The sequence below is a fragment of the Homo sapiens genome, chromosome 20 (assembly GCF_000001405.40).
Source record: "Homo sapiens chromosome 20, GRCh38.p14 Primary Assembly".
Classification (NCBI taxonomy): Eukaryota; Metazoa; Chordata; class Mammalia; order Primates; family Hominidae; genus Homo; species Homo sapiens.
The window spans coordinates 31,515,564-31,537,375 of record NC_000020.11 but is presented as its reverse complement, the minus strand read 5'-3'; the positions used below and the strand labels follow the sequence as shown (position 1 = coordinate 31,537,375).

General features: G+C 47.2%; 1 protein-coding gene across 4 annotated transcripts in view; it reads right to left on the bottom strand.

The window, feature by feature from the left end:
* The window catches only part of HM13 (histocompatibility minor 13), a 55,102-nt gene that overhangs the window by 32,168 nt on the left and 1,122 nt on the right, over positions 1 to 21,812 (bottom strand). For all 4 annotated transcript variants that reach the window (NM_178580.3, NM_178581.3, NM_030789.4 and 1 more), the window contains exon 2: positions 9,794 to 9,892. In NM_178580.3, coding sequence (NP_848695.1) covers positions 9,794 to 9,892 — 99 coding nt within the window. The remainder of the gene's footprint in view (positions 1 to 9,793; positions 9,893 to 21,812) is intronic.

Below are 21,812 nucleotides of genomic sequence, written 5' to 3'. Positions count from 1 at the left end.
TTACTGGAAGCCTCTCCGCAGCTAACCTCTGCTCTCATAAGCCGAAAGCTCACATCCACCTGTTGGCCTCTTGCCCTCGTGGTGGCCACCACAAGTCTCCTGAGCCTTGGCTCACACATGCTCTTGCTCTACACACTGCAGCCACACTGGCCTTTTTGCAGTATGATGTGTGTGCTACATGCCCACCCACAGGCAGCTGTGTACAAGCTCTCCTGCTGCCTGAGATGTTCTCCTCTCTTCTCTCTTCACTGAGGCCACCCTTACTCAACCTTCTTTAGCTCCCAGATCAGGGAAGCTTTGCTCACATAGTTTCTATGAGACAATAACCCCTCAGTAATTCAGCCCATACTGATTGATTGCCTACTACGTGCAAGGCATTGTCCTAGACACCAGTGATTCAGCAAGGAATCAGGCAAAGTCGCTGCTCTCCTAGAGGTCATGGGCCAGTGAGGGAGAAAGAATCTCGAAAGAAACAGTTACATGTATTGTTAGGTGGTAATGGGCACTAAGAAAAGCAAACCAGGGCAGGGAGATAGAGAATGAAAGGGCAGAGCTGCTATTTTAGACAGGTGGTCAGGGAAGGTTCTGGAGGAGAGGACATAGGAGGAGCGTCATAAACGAAGGGAGCAGGTGCAAAGGTCCTGAGGTGGGTGAATGTTCATGTGTGCAGGGACTACAGAGGGCCTGTGAGCCCAGAGCTAAGGGAGCATGGGGACAGTGTCAGGAAAGTAGGCTGGGCGGGAAAAGGGAGCCAGACCCTGCAGTGCCATGGGAAAGTCTTTAGATTTGCCTGCATGAGACAGGCTGGTACTGGAGTGCTGATGGCAGGGTTTGACATGATCAGACAGCATGAGAGGACTTCTCTGCTGCTGTGTAGAAGACCCTGCAGGGCTAGAGTGGAAGCAGGGAGCAGGAGAGGGGGACGGTGCCCTGGCTTGGGGGGATGGAGGGGAAGTGATGAGCAGTGGAAGGATTCTAGATCTGTTCTGCTCCCCTGACCCCCACCCTCCCCGAGATGGAGTTTCGCTCTTGTTGCCCAGGCTGGAGGGCAATGGTGCGATCTTGGCTCACTGCAACCTCCACCTCCTGGGTTCAAGTGATTTTCCTGCCTCAGCCTCCCAAGTGGCTGGGATTACAAGCATGCACCACCATGCCCGGCTAATTTTGTATTTTTAGTAGAGATGGGGTTTCACCATGTTGGTCAGGCTGGTCTTGAACTCCTGACCTCAGGTGATCCAACTGCCTCGGCCTCCCAAAAGTGCTGGGATTACAGGCGTGACCCACCGCACCCAGCCTCCAGATCCGTTCTGGAATTGGAGCTGCAAGACGTGTGAAGGGGCTGGATACAAGGGCTTGGGGGGACAGGGAGAAGGATGACTCCTGGAGTTTCGGCTGAGCTAGGTCAATGCAGGTGCTGTTGTGGATAAGGGGCTTGGGCAGTTCACCTTGGGTGTAGGTTCACCCTGAGCTGGTTCTTCCATGCTTTCCTGGTGCTATGGACCTCGCCTTAACAGCACTTTGTACAGCTGTAACTTCACATCTATCTGTGTGATTGGTGTCTGTCTCTACCACTTAACAAGATGCTTCTTGAGGACAGGGATGGTCAGCTGTTTTTCTCACTTCAGTATCCCCAGTACCCAGCCAGGGCCTGATGTAGCAGGCTCTCAATAAATGCAGAATGACTGAATGGAAGGGCAAATTGGTGGTCCATGTTAGTGCTACAAGAAAAAGACCTATGAGCAGACTTTGTAGGCATATGGATTGTGCTTTATTTATGAAGATGTGGCATACCTCTCACATTGCATTCTTTCAGTCTGAGCCCTTGGGACAAATCACTCTCAGGCCACACCTCTGAGCTTCTTGTTGGTTTCACTGTGACCCATGTGGATTGGGCACCAGGTCTCACTTTCCTTTGTGTTTTGGCTGCTAAAAAGCCAGAGCCACAACTAAGCCCATTTCTAGCAAGAGTACAGGCTTTAGAGCATGGGGTATGGGTGTGGTCCTCACCCAAGCCTTGTTTTATCTTATTTTAATTTTCTCCTTTAACTCTATTTCTTCTGTTTTTCTTATGCTGTTGGATTTAATTTTTTGAGTTGCCTCAAAGGAATCAATTTTAAATAAGGTGGGATAAAGTAAATACTATGATTTTGTGAAATATTACTATATTGTGCAAATTTAAAACTTATTTTAAAAACTTACTTTACAGATGCCTCAACATCCCCACAAATAGGATATGAACATTCTGCCCAGGTTCTCCTTCTGGCCCTCCTCTTCTTCTTTTTTTTTTTTTGAGACGGAGTCTTGCTCTGTCACCAAGGCTGGAGTGCAGTGGCACGATCTTGGCTCACTGAAAACTGTGCCTCCCGGGTTCACGCCACTCTCCTGCCTCAGCCTCCTGAGTAGCTGGGACTACAGGCGCCTGCCACCACGCCCGGCTAATTTTTGTATTTTGTTTAGTAGAGACGGGGTATCACCATGTTACCAGGATGGTCTCGATCTCCTGACCACGTGATCTGCCCGCCTCGGCCTCCCAAAGTGCTGGGATTACAGGCGTGAGCCACTGCACCCGGCCCATTTCTTCTTTTTTTTCTTTCGAAACAGGGTCTCACTTTGTTGCCTAGGCTGGAGTGCAGTGGCCTGATTTTGGCTCACTGCAGCCTCGACCTCCAGGGTTCAAGTGATCCTCCTGCCTCAGCCCCCAAGTAGTTGGGACTACAGGTGTGTGCCACCACGCCTGGCTAATTTTTGTATTTTTTGTAGAGACAGGGTTTCACCATGTTGGCCAGGCTGATCTTTAACTCCTGGGCTCAAACGATCTGCTGCCTTGGCCTCCCAAAGTGCTGGGATTACAGGCGTGAGCCACGGTGCCCAGCCTCTGGTCTTCTTCTTCTATGACCTAATACCATTCAAACACATGGTAAATCCCCTCATGCCCTTTGCTTGTACTACCCTGAGCCCTAACAAAGGCACTTGCCCAGGGGTCCTCCCCTCTCCTTCCTTCCTTCTGTCCTCTCCCCCTTCTCCCTACCTGCTTGGTTGAGTGGCTTCCTTGGAGCTCCTCCCATATGGCCCCCTGTGTGGCATGCATGCCTCCTTCTCTAGAACATGTGAGTATAGTAAATCCTGTAATTTCATAAGCCTCTCTGAGCATAGTTTCTGTGGCTGTGTGCGAGTGATCCTTAAAGACTTCATAAAGTGGGCTGGGTGCAGTGGCTTGCGCCTGTAATCCCAGCACTTTAGGAGGCCAAGGCGGGAGGATTGCATGAGGCCAGGAGTTCAAGAAGCATAGGCAACATGGCAAGACCCCATCTCTACAAAATAAAAAAAAATTAGGCGGGCGTGGTGGTGCATGCCTGTAGTCCCAGCTACCCAGGGGGCTGAGGTGGGAAGATTAACTGAGCCTGGGAGTTTAAAGTTATTGTGAACTACAATCGCACCACTGCACTCCAGCCTGGGTGAAAGAGTAAGACCCTGCCTGTAAAAACAAGGACAAAAAAACCTCACAAGGGGAACATCTTTTTTACAACACAATTGGTGATGAGGATGGGATCATTCTAAACTCAGTGTGAAAGTCCTTGAGAGAGAGGCATATGAAATGAAAGGATTTATTATACTCACAGGTCCTACAGAAGGAGACCCACGGCCAAGTGCCTTCTTTGGGGCTCAGGGTGAAAGACACAAGCAAAAGGGGATCTCACTGATGTGTCTGAATGTCACTAGGTCAGAGTAGAGGAGGGCAAGAAAGGGAACTTGTCGCAGGGACCAGCCTTATCACACTGGCACCTGTTCACCTGGGCAAAGTGTTCATGGCCTATTTGTGGGATGTTGAGGCATCAGGAAAATATGAAGTTTTTTTGTTGTTGTTTTTTTTGAGACGAAGTCTCACTCTGTCACCCAGGCTGGAGTGCAGTGGCATGTTCTCGGCTCACCACAACCTCTGCCTCCTGGGTTCAAGCGATTCTCCTGCCTCAGCCTCCCAAGTAGCTGGGACTACAGGCATGGGCCACCACGCTCGGTTAACTTTTTTGTATTTTTAGTAGAGACGGGGTTTTACCATGTTGGCTAGGCTGGTCTTGATCTCCTGACCTCAGGTGATCTGCCCGCCTCGGCCTCCCAAAGCGTTGGGATTACAGGCGTGAGCCACTACACTCAGCCCTGAAGTTTTAAAAATGTTCAATGCAGTTACAAACTCCAGTGCCCCAACCAGGAGGAGGGGAGGAAAAGGGCTGAGGGAGAGCCGCTGTGGTGGGCTGTTTTTCTGTTAAGCAAACCAACCAGCCAGATGTCAGGGGGGAGGCCAGGAGGAGCCCAGTGGCTGTGCTGTCCAGGCAGCTGCCTTTCAGAAATCTTACTGGGGACACTCTAGAGGCATGGGGTATACTCTGTGCTTCTGGCACGAGGCAGACTGAGGCTTACCTGCCCAGAGAGGAGGAAAGACTGAGCAACAGGAAGCCAGTGCCTTAAATAAAAATGCTCACACCCATTGCTGCCAGAAATTCCTTTTGGGAGCATCTGGTCTAAGGAAAGAATCCTAAATACTAAAAATGTTAGAAGGTCTCTCAAGACTTCAGAAATATCTGCCAAAAGCAAAGGCAGAAGCAATGGCTGGATGTACACAGAGCCACGGAGAGATCTTAAGGTACAGAGAGCGGAAAAGGAAACAGAGGGAGATCAATGCACAGTTCTATTTATGGAAATGCAATTCCCACTCATACACACAGATATACCAACACTACATATTTTATAAGAAACATACACATCTAAGGACAGAAGTCAAATGCATTAAAGCAGCTGCCTCTGGCAGAGAGAGAAATGAAGGTGGGAAATGGAGGTGGATATTGGAGTGAAGTGGGAAAAAAAAAAAAGTAGGGGGGCCTGGCATGGACCAAGGATGGTATGCTATGAACCAAGGCATTTGATAAATTCAGCTGTTTGTTTGTTTGTTTTGTTTTGAGATGGAGTCTCTCTCTGTCACCAGGCTGGAGTGCAGGGGCACGATCTCGGCTCACTGCAACCTCCGACTCCCTGGTTCAAGCGATTCTCCTGCCTCAGCCTCCCAAGTAGCTGGGATTACAGGCGTGTGCCACCACACCCTGATAGTTTTTGTATTTTCAGTAGAGACGGGGTTTCACCATGTTGGCCAGGATGGTCTCGATCTCCTGACCTCGTGATACACCCTCCTTGGCCTCCCAAAGTGCTGGGATTACAGGCTTGAGCCACCGCGCCCGGCCTAAATTCAGCTCTTTACCTGAGGTCCAGAAAAAAAGAAAAAAAAAAAATCTGTGAATAGCCAATGTTATTTAGTGCACTCTTATTTCTTAGAGTAAAAATCAGAATGACATTTTCTGTTTAAAGTGAGGGGGATGCTTTAAGTCAACTGTGCTGTATCTGCTTATAGGGATGTTTTTCTGCTTTTATTGTCAGGGTAACATTCGTGTCCAGGCTGGAGTTCAGTGGTGTGATCATAGCTCACCATAGCCTTGAACTCCTGTGCTCAAGTCATCCTTCAGCCTCAATCTCCTGAGTAGCTGGGAATATAAGCCTGCACCACCATGTCTGGCTAATTTTTAAATGTTTTCTAGAGATGGGGTCTTGCTATGTTGCCCAGGCTGGTTGCTTGTGGGGATACCCTGTAACCATTAAAAAGAGCATTTCTCAGGAGGCTGAGGCAGGAGAATTGCTTGAACCTGGGAGGCAGAGATTGCAGTGAGCCAAGATCATGCCACTGCACTCCAGCCTGGGTGACAGACTCCGTCTCAAAAAACAAAACAAAACAATAACAACAACAAAAAACAACAAAAAAAGAGGATTTATAGCTGGATGTAATGACATACGTCTATAGTCCCAAATACTTAGGAGGCTGAGACGGGAGGATCATCTGAGCTCAGGAGAACAAGTCTTCAGTAAGCTACGATTATGTGACTGCATTCCAGCCTGGGCAACAGAGCAAGACCTCATCTCTAAAAAAAAAAAAAAATTCCGATCCAAAATGAGGGAGCTATGAAATAGGAAACAGGTGTTAAAAAATTATGTTTTTGGCTGGGCGCAGTGGCTCACACCTGTAATCCCAGCACTTTGGGAGGCCAAGGCAGGTGGATTACCTAAGGCCAGGAGTCCAGCCTGACCAACAAGGTGAAACCCCGTCTCTACTAAAAATACAAAAATTAGCTGGGCATGGTGGCACACACCTGTAATCCTAGCTACTTGGGAGGCTGAGGCAGGAGAATCGTTTGAACCTGGGAGGTGGAGGTTGCAGTGAGCCGAGAATGTGCCACTGCACTCCAGCCTGGGCAACAGAGTGAGACTCCATCTCAAAAAAGAAAAAAAATCTTTTTAATTCACTCACAGACTGGAAAAAACTAAAAATTTTGGTGTTATCCAATGCAGGTGAGCGCCTGGGTAGGCCAGCACACTTGTAACTGTCAGTGGGAATGTAAAATGGCACAATCTTTTTGGAGGGTGATTTGGCACTATCTAATTACAAATGGAGATGCATTTGACCTGGTAGACCTACTGCAGATAGACTTGAAGAAAATAAGTGCACAAATTATGTGTATGAAGTGTTCACGACAATACTGCTATGATACCCCAACACTGGACAGACCTAAATACCCTCAGGGTACACTGTAAAACAGAACCATGAGCAGCTGTTAAAAAGAATGAAAGAGGCTGGGCACGATGGCTCATGCCTGTAATCCCAGCACTTTGGGAGGCTAAGGAAGGCGGATCACAAGGTCAAGAGATCAAGACCATCCTGGCCAACATGGTGAAACCCCATCTCTACTAAAATTACAAAAATTAGCTGGGTGTGGTGGCATGCACCTGTAGTCCCAGCAACTCGGGAGGCTGAGGCAGGAGAATCGCTTGAACTAGGGAGGCGGAGGTTGCATTGAGCTGAGATCGCACGCCACTGCACTCCAGCCTGGCGACAGAGAAAGACTCTGTCTCAAAAAAAAAAAAAGAATGAAAGAATGGGGTAATTTGACTGTGTTGATATAAAAATACCTCCGTGGTAAGAATCATGTATTTGATACATATAAAAATATATATAATTTAACATAAGTATAGATTTATGCATGACAGAATCACAGGAAACTGTATTGGGGAGAGGATTATGGTTCATTTGTACTTTAGGTTGAAAAAAATATTTCTTTTTTTGAGACGGAGTTTTGCTCTGTTGCCTAGGCTGGCAACAAATTTTTTTAAATGATGTACATTATTGATGAATCGGTTTATTTATTTACCTATGAATGAGATGGGGTCTCACTATGTTGCCCACACTGGCCTCTAACTCCTGAGCTCAAGTGATCCTCCCACCTTAGCCTCCCAAAGTACTGGGATAACAGGTGAGCCACTGCACCAGGCCTACATGTACATATTTTTTTTAATTGATACTTTTTTTTTTTAATTGAGACAGAGTCTCGCTGTGTCGCCAGGCTGAAGTGCAGTGGCACCATCTCAGCTCACTGCAACCTCTGCCTCCCGGGTTCAAGCGATTCCCCTGCCTCAGACTCCCGAGTAGCTGGGACTACAGGCACATGCCACCATGCCCAGTTAATTTTTGTATTTTTAGTAGAGACCGGGTTTCACCACGTTGGCCAGGATGGATTTTTGTAGTTTTTGTAGAGACAGGGTTTCACCATTGTTGGCCAGGGTGGTCTTGAATTCCTGACCTCAGATGATCCACCCACCTCGGCTTCCCAAAGTGCTGGGATCACAGGTGTGGGCCACTGCGTCCAGCCTACATTTTAAGATGTAAATTAAAGACATCCTTGAGGAATTTTCAATGACCAGGAAAAAAGCTGACGTACTATTAAAAAGAACAAAAAGGGGCCAGGTGTGGTGGCTCATGCTTGTAATACCAGCACTTTACAAGGCCAAGGAGGGTGGACAGCTTGAGCCCAGGAGTTCGAGACCAGCCTGGGCAACATGCAAAACCCCATCTCCACTAAAAATATGAAAATTAGCTAGGTGTGGTGGTGCACGCCTTGTAGTCCCAGCTACTCTGGAGGCAGGGTGGGAGGATCGCTTGAGCCCAGGAGGTTGAGGCTGTAGTGAGCCATGATTGCACTATGGCACTCCAGCCTAGGTGACAGAGCAAGACCTTGTCTCAAAAACAAAACAAAACAAACAAAACAAGGGCCTGGCATAGTGGCTTACATCTGTAATCTTAGTGCTTCAGGAGGCCAAGGAGTTTGTTACCAGCCTGGGCAACATAGTAAAACCCTGTCTCTAAAAATAAAATACAATAAAACAAAATCAGTCGGTTTTCCACTTGAGTCCAGGAATTGAGGTTGCAGTGAGCCATGATTGCACCAGTGCACTCCAGGCTGGGCAAGAGTGAGACCCTGTCTCTAAACAAACCAATAAACAAAGAAAAACCTAACATAAACAACAAAAAGAAGATCTAACACTACAGTTATGATTATAATAATGCTAAACATACACTTATTAAAAGGCTGAAAGGGATGGATGCAGTGGCTTACGCCTGTAATCCCAGCACTTTGGGAGGGAGAGGTGGGAGGATCACTTGAGCCCAGGAGTTTGAGACCAGACTGGGCAACAAAGCGAAATCTTGTTTCTACTAAAAGAAAAAGTTGGCCGGGTGCAGTGGCTAACGCCTGTAATCCCAGCACTTTGGGAGGCCAAGGCGGGTGGATCATGAGGTCAGGAGTTTGAGACCAGCCTGACCAACACAGTGAAACCCTGTCTCTACTAAAAATACAAAAATTAGCTGGGCGTGGTGGCGCGCGTCTGTAATCCTAGCTACTCAGCTGGCTGAGGCAGGAGAACCACTTGAACCTGGGAGGTGGATGTTGTAGTGAGCCGAAATTGCGCCACTGCACTCCAGCCTGGGTGACAGAGCGAGACTCCGTCTCAAAAAAGAAAACATTAGCAGGGTGTGGTGGTGCGTGCCTATAATCCCAGCTACTTGGGAGGCTGAGGCAGGAGGATCTCTTGAGCCTAAGAGGTTGAGGCTGCAGTGAACTGTGATGGCGCCATTGCACTCCAGCCTGGGGGACGGAGTGAGACTCTGTCCTAAAATAAATAAATAAAAAGCCCGAAATGAGATATGCCAAAATGTTAATGACTACTTCTGTGTTGTGGTATTTATTTTTCCCTCTATTGATATACTTTCTTTAGTTTTTCTGAATATATTTTTATAATCCAGAAAATAGTACAACTAAGGAAGGTTTGCAGTAACATGAGAAAATGTTTATGATGTTATTAATGTGAAGTGAAAAAAGCAGCTACAAACTGAATACACCATGTGGTCACAGCTACGGAGAAACCATGCACAGGGAGAAACAGTGGAAGGACACACCTCCGAAGGGAAACTGTGACTGTCTCTGGTAGTGGGGTTTTGGATGACTGCTGTTTTTCCCTTTTTACTTTTCTGTGTTTTCCAGGTTTTCAACACTGAGCCTGCATAACTTTTATTGGGAAAATAAACCTCGATAAATTAAAAAAAAAAAAAAGGCCATTAGTATGGTAGAGGTATGTCTGAGCACAAGCTATACCCCATCCCAACATAAACAGTACAATGAAACCAAACTGATATCACAAAAACAAAACAAAAAGCTACATGGAGAAAAGAAATACGGACTAGTGAGAAAGGGTCCCAAACACTAACAGTTGTTGTCTTTGGGTAGGTCTATGGGTGAATTATTAATTTTTCTTTCTTCTTTATTTTCTATAAATGAACATGCATGGTTCTTGTGATGGGAAAAATAAAACAAAATAAGATAAAGTCATTTAGATCAAATGACACAACAGGTGGCAAAAGACTTACTTTGAAAAAGAGGTAGAGCCCCAAGAGTGTGCAGCTGGCGATGATGGGGAAGCGGGCGGCATCCCGGCTGGTGATTGTTTCAGGCATGTCTGAAGCATTCTAGAGGAGAGAAGAATGACAATGGCTCAGCACGGCTGGTTCCCATATGTTCCTGCAAGGCTCTGCTAATGCTATTCCCTTGGCTAGGGATGCTGCCTGCCTCATCCTGGGGCAAGATGCTCTGATCTTGCCATTTTTTTTTTTTTGAGATGGAGTCTTGCTCTATCACCCAGGCTGGAATGAAGTGGCACAATCTTGGCTCACTACAGCCTCCGCTTCCTGGGTTCAGGCGATTCTCCTGCCTCAGCCTCCCGAGTAGCTGGGACTATAGGCATGCACAACCATGCACAGCTAATTTTTGTATTTTTAGCAGAGATGGAGTTTTACCATGTTGGCTAGGCTGGTCTCGAACTGACCTCAAGTGATCCACCTGCTTCGGCCTCCCAAAGTGCTGGGATTACAGGTATGAACCACCATGCCTGGCTGATCCTGCCATTCTACCATGAGGAGATCTGGACCCTGATCAAGAGACCAAGGAGAACCCAGGGCATGTGTGACACATCTGGGGAGAAGGGCTATGGCAGAGGCCATTCCAGTATGGAATAACTGAGAGAAGAAAACCTGGACACCAGTGATGCCACAGCAGTTTCAGACCTCTCGAAGAAAATTGTTTTCAGTTTTCTAATGGATCAGCCAAGAGGGAAAAATGACTATTCTGTCATCCAGTAGGTAATGAATATTATGAGTTGAAATTAACAACAAACAAGACAGACAATGGCTGAAACTGCACATAGGGAGACACCAACTGTGAGGAGAAGCAAATCTTGACAAAACTTAAATTTAAGAAATTTGACTGGCAGACTTGAAAATGGTAAAAATAAAAGCCACAATTAAATTTATAATGGCAGATGCTATAGTTGGCAAGAATGTGATGTGGGTAAAGAACTGATGAAGGATAAATATTTACATGAAAAAGAACTGAATGCAATCAAAATAATTTCAGTATTATAAAAATGGAAAAGAATTGAAAATGGAGTAACAGATCAACATAGGAATAGATTAGCTTCATAGAATTTATGCCAAAGAAGGCCAGGCGCAGTGGCTCACGCCTGTAATCCCAGCACTTTGGGAGGCCGAGGCGGGTGGATCACAAGGTCAGGAGTTTGAGACCAGCCTGGCCAACATGGTGAAACCCCGTCTCTACTAAAAATACAAAAATTAGCCGGGCGCAGTGGCGGGCACCTATAATCCCAGCTACTCAGGAGGCTGAGTCAGGAGAATCGCTTGAACCCAGGAGGTGGAGGTTGCAGTCAGCTGAGATCGCACAACTGAACACTCTAGCCTGGGAGACACAGCAAGACTCCGTCTAAAAAAAAAAAAAAAGGATTTATGACGAACTTTCTTTTTTGTTTTTTGAGATGGAGTCTCATGAGCTCTGTCACCTAGGCTGGAGTGCAGTGGTGCAATCTTGGCTCACGGCAACCTCTGCCTCCTGGTTCAATCAATTCTCCCGCCTCAGCCTCTCAAGTAGCTGGGACTACAGGCACATGCCACCATACCTGGCTAATTTTTGTGTTTTTTGCAGAGAGGGGGTTTCACAATGTCGGCCAGGCTGGTCTCAAACTCCTGGCCTCAGGTGATTTACCCGCCTTAGCCTCACAAAGTGCTGGACTTATAGGTGTGAGCCATTGTACCTGGCCAGAACTTTCTAATGAAAATTTATCAATGATATATAGTACTGGTATAAATTTCTTTTCTTTCTTTTCTTTTTTTCTTTTTTTTTTGGTATAAATTTGTATTCCAAACAGGGTCAAAAGCTTCCAGGATCACAGTGGTCTCTACCTGCCCTCTCTCTGCTAGGCAAAATCCTCACAGTCCTCAAGGGCCTAGTAAATGTCACTGCCACGAAGCCCTTCCAGATTTCCCCGCTGGGACAAGCCTACTCTGCAACTGTTTTATATCATGGCTACCAAAAGTCCTAGCAATGCCAGATTAGACTCCTGCTCATGCTGAAGTTCTTTCCATAGTAGCCAGGCTCATTACAGTGCCTGAGATTCTACTATCACCATATCCATCTTGCAAGTAAAGCACCAGCATCCCTAGAAGAAGGGATCACATTCAGTTATGGAGACTCACAAATATTTTGGCTGACAAAAACCAACAATAAAAAACCTGCTAAGAGAGAGGGTGTCTGGAGAAGGTAAGACTGGCTCAGAGAGGCCCTAGTGTCCCAGGTGGAAGGTTGCAAAGAGGGAAGGAGATGGGGCAGAGGGCAGTAAGCCCACAAAATGACTACTAGGAGAGGGAGGTGTGGGCTAGATTCGAAATCCTGGGTTTAAGTAATCCTCTTGCCTCAGCCTCCCAAGTAGCTGGGATTACAGGCATGCACCACTGTGCCTGGCTAAAGGAAATACATAGACAGCACTGGCCTAAAGTATAAACCTGTCCAGCCTTTTCGGGAGGGTAATTTGGCAGGATGCATTAGACTGAAATTTCCACATGCCCAAAGATACAAAAAGAGGAGCCACAGAGGCCGGGCACAATGGCTCACGCTTGTAATCCCAGCACTTTGGGAGGCCGAGGCAGGCGGATCGTGAGGTCAGGAGATCAAGACCATCCTGGCTAACGTGGTGAAACCCCATCTCTACTAAAAATAGAAAAAATTAGCCAGATGTGGTGGCGGGCGCCTGTAGTCCCAGCTACTCGGGAGGCTGAGGCAGCAGAATGGCATGAACCCGGGAGGCGGAGCGTGCAGTGAGCCAAGATTGTGCCACTGCATTCCAGCCTGGGCGACAGAGCGAGACTCCATCTAAAAAAAAAAAAAAAAAAAAAAGCCACACAACAAGAACTACAAATGGCTCTTAATAATAATAAAAAAAGTCTTTATTCTCACTCTTAATAAGAGCTCAAACTAAAGCACACTGAGATTCTGTTTTTTGTCTATCGGAAAGGTAAGAATCCACACACTGGGTAACATACTGAGTCGGTGGGGCTACGGGGAAAGATGTAGTCTCCCACACTGCCTATGGGAGTCAATCTGTCTTCCTGTAGAAAGCAACTAGGCAATACACAAAAAATTACAAATGCACATACCCTTTGACCAAGCAATTCCATCTGTGGGAATTCTCCCTACAGATATAGTTCATAAATAAGTAAAATGCTACACATAAAGTGTATCCAAGGTATTCCTTGCTCTGTTAACGGCTTGCTGAGTGACTGGGTTTACTTCTCTGTCAAACAGGAGGACAATCTCTAGCCTCACTTCAAAAAAGGTCCAAGAGCCTTCTTTTTTTTTTAAAGAAAAGTGACAGGGTCTCTCTCTGTTGCCCAAGCTGGAGTGCAGTGGCAGGATCATAGCTCACTGCAGCCTTGAACTCCTGGCATCAAGTGATCCTCCTGCCTTGGCCTCCCAAAATGCTGAGATTATAGGCGTGAACCACCACACCCAGCCCCATAGGAGTCTTAAAGCAAATAAGATATGGGATGCGAAACAGCCTGGCAAACTAAAGTACTGTGCCTGTATTGGGGGTTGTGACTATCAGGGAGAGGTGAGTGAGGAGGCCCCTAACCACACCCTTGCCTATGCATGGCTGAGGCAGCCCAGGCTCTGGGCTGGAAGGGAGACCCTCCCCTCTGGAGCCACTGGAGGCAGCTCCATGTGAGTCACTTGGACAGCTTTGCTAGGAGGTGGGAGTGGGGTGGGTGAACAATACCCACATGAGAGGCCCAGTTTCCTTCCTTCCCTATTCTCTCCCAACCCTTGGCTTCTGCTTTTGCCAGCAGTGTGCTGTGGGACTTGGGCAAGTTCCTCATCCCCTCTGAGCATCTCCACACATTCAATACATTTCCTGTGTAGCAGTAGTATGGGTACAAAAATGAGTTCCTGATCTTGAAACACTCACAGGCAGGTAGGTTAATACTGTGACATGATACATATTACAGGGAACACGTATTCTATTTTATGGAATGCACAGCAAAACTGGCTGGGCGTGGTGGCTCATGCCTGTAATCCCAGCACTTTGGGAGATGGAGGCGGGCGGATCACCTGAGGTCAGGATTTCGAGATCAGCCTGGCCAACATGGTGAAACCTTGTCTCTACTAAAAATACAAAAATTAGCTGGGCGTGCTGGTGTGCATCTGTAATCCCAGCTACTTGGGAGGCTGAGGGAGGAGAATAGCTTGAACCTGGGAGGTGGAGGTTGCAGTGAGCCGAGACTGAGCCACTGAACTCCAGCCTGGGTGGACAGCGAGACTCTGTCTCAAAAAAAAAAAAAGACCAGCCTGGCCAACATGGTGAAACCCCGTCTCTACTAAAAATACAAAAATTAGCCGGGTGTGATATTGTGCGCCTATGGTCCCAGCTACTCAGGAGGTTGAGGCAGGAGAATTGCTTGAACCCGGGAGGTGGAGGCCGTAGTGAGTGGGGATCGTGCCACTGAACTCCAGCCTCGGCAACAGAGCGAGACTCTGTCTCATAAAAAAAAAAAAGCCCCCCTCCCAAAAAAAACCCCAAACAGGCTATTATAATGTAGTGTGACACATGATGCAATAGACATGTATATCACTGTGACACACAGTATGAACATCAGCAGTTATGAAGGGACTCTGAGATCAGGAAGTCCATTTGGACTCCCAGCTCTACTTCCCAGCTGTGGGACCTTGGGAAAGTGATTTTTTTTTTCTCTAAGCCTCAATTTCCTCAGCTGTAAAACAAGTTGTGAGGATTCTGATTTCTGCTTTGGAAGTACTCAGCATTGTATCTCGAGTCATCATTTAAACCGTATACACCATTTGTATCATTATTATGCAAAACGGAATCACGACACAGCCAACAAGACACTATTTCTGCAGAGAAGTAAGGGAGTCAGAGGTGGCAAGAGCAGGTACCACTTAAGCAAGGCCTTGATGGTCAAGCACAGTGTCTGGTAGTCTGGAGCCAGACAAATGCTGACTGGGTTTAGGAGTCAGCTTGTCAGTTTTTTTTTTTTGTTTTTTTTTAGTGGAGTTTTGCTCTTTTTGCACAGGCTGGAGTGCAATGGCACAATCTCAGCTCACTACAAATCAAGTGATTCTCTGCCTCGGCCTCCTGAGTAGCTGGGATTATAGGCACCTGCCACCACACCCAGCTAATTTTGTATTTTTAGTAGAGATGGGGTTTCACCATGTTGGCCAGGCTGGTCTCAAACTCCTGACCTCAGATGATCTGCCTGCCTTGGCCTCCCAAAGTGCTGGGATTACAGGTGTGAGCCACCATGCCCGGCTTGAGGAGTGTGCTTTGTGTACAAGGAAAGGAAGTGCTTATCAGGCAGAAAGATATGCACATGCAGAGGCTCAGGGCTGTCAAAGGACACGCAGGACTCTGTGGCTTCACCTACAAACCAGCATTATGGCTCATTTCCACATATTCCTTTCAATTCAGCTCAGCACCCTGGGTGGGAAGAGGCCTAATCTTATTCAGTGACAAACCAAGGTTGGACAGATCCTCTCCATTACACAGAGGACTCTGGTCTCCTTTGCGGGTGACTTATAAATATCCCATGCTGCAATGCTGAGTCAGAATGGGAGACTGGACTGTAATCCCAGCACTTTGGGAGGTCAAGGTGGGCAGATCGGTTGAGCCCAGGAGTTTGAGACCAGCATGGGCAACATGGAGATACTCTGCCTCCATTAAAAAAAAAAAAAAAAAAAGAATGGGAGACCTGAAATCTGACGATAATAGTAATAACAATAACATTACTGCACTGTTCTAGGTACTTTACATGTTTTCATCCTCACAAAAACCCCACAAAGCAGGTACTTTTTTTTTTTTTTTTTGAGATGGAGTCTCGCTCTGTTGCCCAGGCTGGAATGCAGTGGTGCAATCTTGGCTCACTGCAACCTCCGCCTCTTGGGTTCAAGCAATTCTCATGTCTCAGCCTCCCGAGTAGCTGGGACTACAGGCATGTACCACCACGCCCAGCTAATTTTTTGTATTTTTAGTAGAGACAGGGTTTCACCATGTTAGTCAGGATGGTCTGTCACAAGATCCTGACCTTGTGATCTGCCTGCCTTGGCCTCCCGAAGTGCTGGGATTACAGGCGTGAGCCATCACGCCTGGCCAGCAGGTACTTTTAATAGCTCTTTTACAGATGAGGAAGCGGAGGTCTAGAGAGGTGAAGTAACTTGCTTAGTGTCACACAGCTGGTGAGTGGCAGAGCCAGGACTGAAACTGAGGCAGTCCAGTTCCAGACCCCAAACTCTTGGGAGCTGTTTCCTAGAAGATTTCTATCTTTCCTATCTGGAAATTTCGGTTGGAAAGTTTTAACAGGAAGATACTTGGGAAGCCTGCAACCTTTCTGAGGAACAGAATCCTGAAGGTAACTGAACAGCTAATCTTTGTAGTTACAAAAATACTAAAAAGTTGCTAGGATTCTTTACCAATCCAATTGCGATTTTTTAACCAGATTTGTGTATGTAAATACAATAGATCCTGCAACATAAAACACAATTAGAAAGTGGGGGAAAAACCTGACACAAACAGCAGAAGTAAATGTAGCTTCCAGTGACATTCTGGATGTTGTTATCAGAGCGGAAACAAAAGCTGTAAGAGAGGACAGATGCCTGCTTCAAGCCATTGGCACGGTTCAAGCTCTCGGAGCACTGCTTCTACGCCATGCCCTGGAAATGATCTGAAATTCATGGGCCATTCTGTTACTGTTGACCCAGCTGGAGACTCCAGAGTCTCCATTCTTTACCACAACATCCAGTCACTCAGCTCTCCAAGGTTACCTTTCCTAACTTCCCACCCCAATCCTTTGGCCCTCATTGCTGCATTGCTGTCTTCACAACCCCTGCACCAACATTACACTTCTCCCTCCTGCCTATCACCCACCCTGCCATGAGCTCTTTCTAAAGCCTACACCTGATTGTATCACGTATCTGCTTAAAAACCTCTGGAGAAGCCAGGCACAGTGGCTCACACCTGTAATCCCAGCACTATGGGAGGCCGAGGTGGGCGGATCACTTGAGGTCAAGAGTTCGAGACCAGCCTGGCCAACATGGTGAAACCCTGTCACTACTAAAAATATAAAAATTAGCCAGGCGTAGTGGCACGCGCCTGTAATTCCAGCTACTTGGGAGGCTGAGGCATGAGAATTGTTTGTACCTGGCAGGCGGAGGTTGCAGTGAGCCAAGATCACACCACTGCACTCCAGCCTGGCCAAAGAGTGAGACTCTAACAAATGAACAAACAAACAAACAAAAACAACAACAAAAAAACAAAACCTCTGGAGAACAGACTACTCCACAGCCATTAAACAAGAATTGAGGTCATTGCTGGTGGGAAAGTAAACTGATACAACCTCTATAGTGGATCATATGGTAAAATCTATCTAAATAAAAAGTGTGGGCTGGGAACAGTGGCTCACGCCTGTAATCCCAGCACTTTAGGAGGCCAAGGCGGGCAGATCACCTGAGGTCAGGAGTTTGAGACCAGCCTGGCCAACATGGTAAAACCCCATCTGTATGAAAAACATAAAAATTAGCCAGGTGTGGTGGGTGCGCGCCTGTAATCCTGTAATCCCAGCTACTCAAGAGGCTGAGGTGGGAGAATTGCTTGAACCCAGGAGGCAGAGGTTGCAGTGAGCTGAGATGGCACCACCGCACTCACACTCAGCCTGGGCAACAGAGCGAGACTGTCTCAAAAAAAAAAAAAAAAAAAGTGTGCATAGCCTTCGACCCACCAATTTTGAGAAATTTATCCCACAAATACACAGACAAGTGTGAAATAAAAATGTATAATGTTATTAATTTCAGCATGGTTTGTAATAGCAAAAGACTGAAACAACCTAAATGACCAGTTGGGGACTCAAATTCTCAAATTTGAGCATGCATCAGAATCACCAGGTGGGCTTGTTAAAACACACATTGCTGGGCCCACCTTGAGCTTCTGATTCAGAATGTGCATTTCTAACAAGTTCTGGGGTGATGCTGACACTGCTGGCCCAGGGACCAGATACTAGAGAACTAGCATTCTAAGCAAACTGGAGTACAAGTGGGATACCATACAGCTGTTAAAGAACACACCCACCCCCTATGTACTGACATGATTGGATCTGCAACACACATTAGGTGAAAAAAGCAAGGTGCAAGGAAGAGTGTACTGGCCAGGCGTGGTGGCTCACGCCTGTAATCCCAGCACTTTGGGAGGCCAAGGCGGGTGGATCACCTGAGGTCAGGAGTTCAGGACCAGCCTGGACAACCTGGTGAAACCCCATCTCTGCAAAAATACAAAAATTAGCCAGGCATGATGGCAGGTGCCTGCAATCCCAGCTACTCGGGAGGCTGAGGCAGAAGAATCGCTTGAACCCAAGAGATGGAGCGTGCAGTGAGCTGAGGTTATGCCATTGCACTCCAGCCTGGGTGACAGAGTGAGACTCGGTCTCATTAAAACAACAACAAAAAAAATCAGGGAAAAGTATATGCCTATTTATTTGTAAAGACACAGAATCTTTCTGGATGGATATCTAAGAAACACAGGAGAGGGGCTGCCTCTGAGGAGGGAAATAGGGCAGCTTGGGGTAGCAGGGAGACTTTCACTGTGCACCCCTTTGTACCTTTTGAATTCTGTACCATGGGCATGTATTACCTACCCTCCCCACCATAAAAGATGAGGTAGATCTCTCTCTCTCTCTCTCTATATATATATGTATATATTTTTTGAGACAGGGTCTCACTGTTGCCCAGTGGTGCAATCAGGGCTCACTGCAGCCTTGAACTCCTGGGCTCAAGTTATCCTCTCGCCTCAACCTCCAGAGTAGCTAGGACTACAGGTGCATGCCATCATGTCTGGTTAACTTTAGGTCTATATGTACTGACATAGAAAAATAATGAAACATATTATTATTATTATTATTTTTGAGATGGAGTCTCACTCTGTCGACCAGGCTGGAGTGCAGTGGCATGATCTCGGCTCATTGCAACCTGTGCCTCCCGGGTTCAAGCGATTCTTGTGCCTCAGCCTCCCGAGTAGCTGGGATTACAGGCGTGCCCCACCACACAAAGCTAATTTTTGTATTTTTAGTAGAGATGGGGCTTCACCATGTTGGCCAGGCTGGTCTTGAACTCCTGACTTCAAGTGATCCACCTGCCTCGGCCTCCCAAAAGTGCTGGGATTACAGGCATGAGCCACTGTGCCTGGCCAACATATTGTTAAAGAAAAAAAAAAAATTGCTGGGCGCGGTGGCTCATGCCTGTAGTCCCAGCACTTTGGGAGGCCGAGGAGGGTGGATCACCTGAGGTCGGGAGTTTGAGACCAGCCTGACCAACATGGAGAAATCCCGTCTCTACTAAAAATACAAAATTAGCCAGGCGTGGTGGTGCCAGCCTGTAATCCCAGCTACATGGGAGGCTGAGGCAGGAGAATTGCTTGAACCTGGGAGGCAGAAGTTGCAATGAGCCAAGATCACGCCATTGCACTCCAGCCCGGGCAACAAGAGTGAAACTCCATCTCAAAAAAAAAAAAAAATCAAGTTGTAGAGAAATATGTACTATATAATCCAATTTTTATAAAAATAAATTTACATGTCTATATACACAGACACATATACAATGAATGTGTAAACACAGAAAAAACTCTCAAAGGTTATATACTCAACAGCCAGTTGGGTTACTTCCAAGGAATAGTGCCCAGGAGGCTTTTCCTTTATACTTCTGCACTGCTTGATTTTTTTTTTTTTTAACAAGTGTATAGTATTTTTGTAACAATACGATTAACCGCTGCATTGCTTTCAGGATTCTCTTCCCCAGAAAGGCCACGGGCTTCCTGAACATCTTGTCACTACATCCAAGCCCCTCTCCTGGGCTCACACCACACTCTTCACTGCCTCCCTGAACACATCTTGTGGTCCCCTGCCCCACCTTCTCCTGCTCTGCCTGTTGGACTCTCCCAATCCATGCAGAGACAACTGCTGCCCCCTCCAGGAGGCCTATCAGAGCTCTATTTACTTGACTAGTCACATGTCTGTTTCTCCTTGGTGACTGGGCTCAGTGAGGGCAGGGCTTGGCCTTCTTTGTCCCGGAACTCCTGGTACCCAGCCCAGAGCCTAGCCCACAGCAGGCACCCAGTCCTGTTCGCTGAGGGCCCTTTAAACCAATGTTTAATGTGCAGCTACTGCCTGGGTCATATTCGCTTCTGTCTGGGATATAGGACTCTGACAGTGATGGGTGCTGCTCTGAGACTGCTCCTCCCAAGGCTACTTCTTCACAACATACTCCTGGAGGCTCTACCTTCTTTCTCTCCATGATTTCACAATTTTCCCTGCCTGTTATGGACACCTTGACCCTTGGGGATTCTGTCCTCACATTCCCTCTCTCCCAACTGGTTTTGGGGTCCAACACTGGTGGGAAATCAAAACTGGGTCCCCACACTAACTCTTCTCTCTCCTTTTCACATGACCAGGGAAACGACTCAGGGTAGAAGGGGAGTCATTTGCCCTGTCCTTTCCCTAGGTCAATGCTGCTTGTCTTTAAAGGTACCTGTGTTAGGAGAGAGCCCTGGATGAGGACTAGGCATACCTGATTCTGCCCCTAAATGGCAGAGTGATCTTCAGAAGTCATTTCTTTGACTCTCAGTTTCTTTTCCTGTACAATGAGGATAATGAAACTGGCTCTGCCTGCCACCTCAGTTGCTGTGAGCATCAAAGGGCGTCAAGGTTTTGCAAGCTTTACCGCATCTGGGTCATTGGTGGTGGCAGGCTCTTAATGGTCAGGTCCTGTTTGTAAATTCATACAGTCCTCCACACCCTGCTGCCCTGCAGGAGATGCTTGGGAGAGGTATTCAGAGGCTAAGGCTTTCTCCTATCCATACCCTCTGTTCCAGCCACACCAAACCTTCCACTATTTCCTGAACTGCCTCGTAGCCTCCTGCCTCCGTACCTCTCTCTGCTTACCTGGTTTCTTTTGCTTAGAATGCCTTCTCCTGGCTGAAATTCTACCTCTACGTCAAGGCTCAGGCCTACCTCTAGCACAAAGCCTCCCTGCATTGTCCCAGATGTGCTCAATCTTTCTCCCTAAACCTTGTAGCATTGCTTGTAGTATAATCACAATCTAGTTATTATTCTTTCACCTACGCTCCCGAATTCCTTGGTGACAGGGCTCTGACCTACTCATCTTTGCAGCAATCCTCCCTTACCCCTGACAGTGGTGGAAGTTCAGGAAATACTGTTGCCTGGAAGGTGTTTTCTGCAGAGATTAGTGATCCATGTACAGAAGGTGCCAGGGAGAATTACTCAGTTTGGAGAGCAGCTCAGATCAAGCTGCCTAGCCTTATGCCAGCTGTCCTTCGCCTCCTCTGTCCTGGGTTATCTCAGAACTGCTCTCTACACTAAGTGTCTACCTGACAGGCATAGTAGAGAGGCTTAATATCACCTGAACTCAGCTTAGAAAAAGCCAAATAAAAAGGAAAATGGAGTCATGTTTGAGTCTCTCAGCCTAAGCCCCGCCTAACTACTTTCCTTTGCATCTGATCGCATACAGAGCCAGTAGTGAGTTCTCTGCTCCTGGGGAAGGAAGATGGCAGGCCTCAGCTACTGCTCAAGTTGGGTAGTGTTTTGAGAACCTCAGCTTCAGCAGTTTCAAAAGTGGCAGCTGCTTTGTGGGCCTGCCCTCTTTGGGCAAGACTTCCACTTAGGTCCATCCTCAGGTCTGGGTGGGGGAGGAGCATCGGGAAGGTGCAGATTAAGAGGTTGTGGAGGAAGGGAGAGGGTGCCAGGAAGTGAAAAGTCATTGGTACAACGGGCTAGAAAGGGCTTAATATAGGGAAGAAGTGGGGCAGGGAAGGGGGAGGGAGAAGCAGAAGGTGAAATGTGCTGGAGTCCTCCTAGTTATCCAATAGGACAGATGTTGAGGAAGGCCAGGGATGGAGTCTGGCCCAGTCTCACAAGAGGGGCCAACAGTGGCCCAGCAGACAGGCCCAGTTTGGTGGGGGGATTGTCTTGGGGG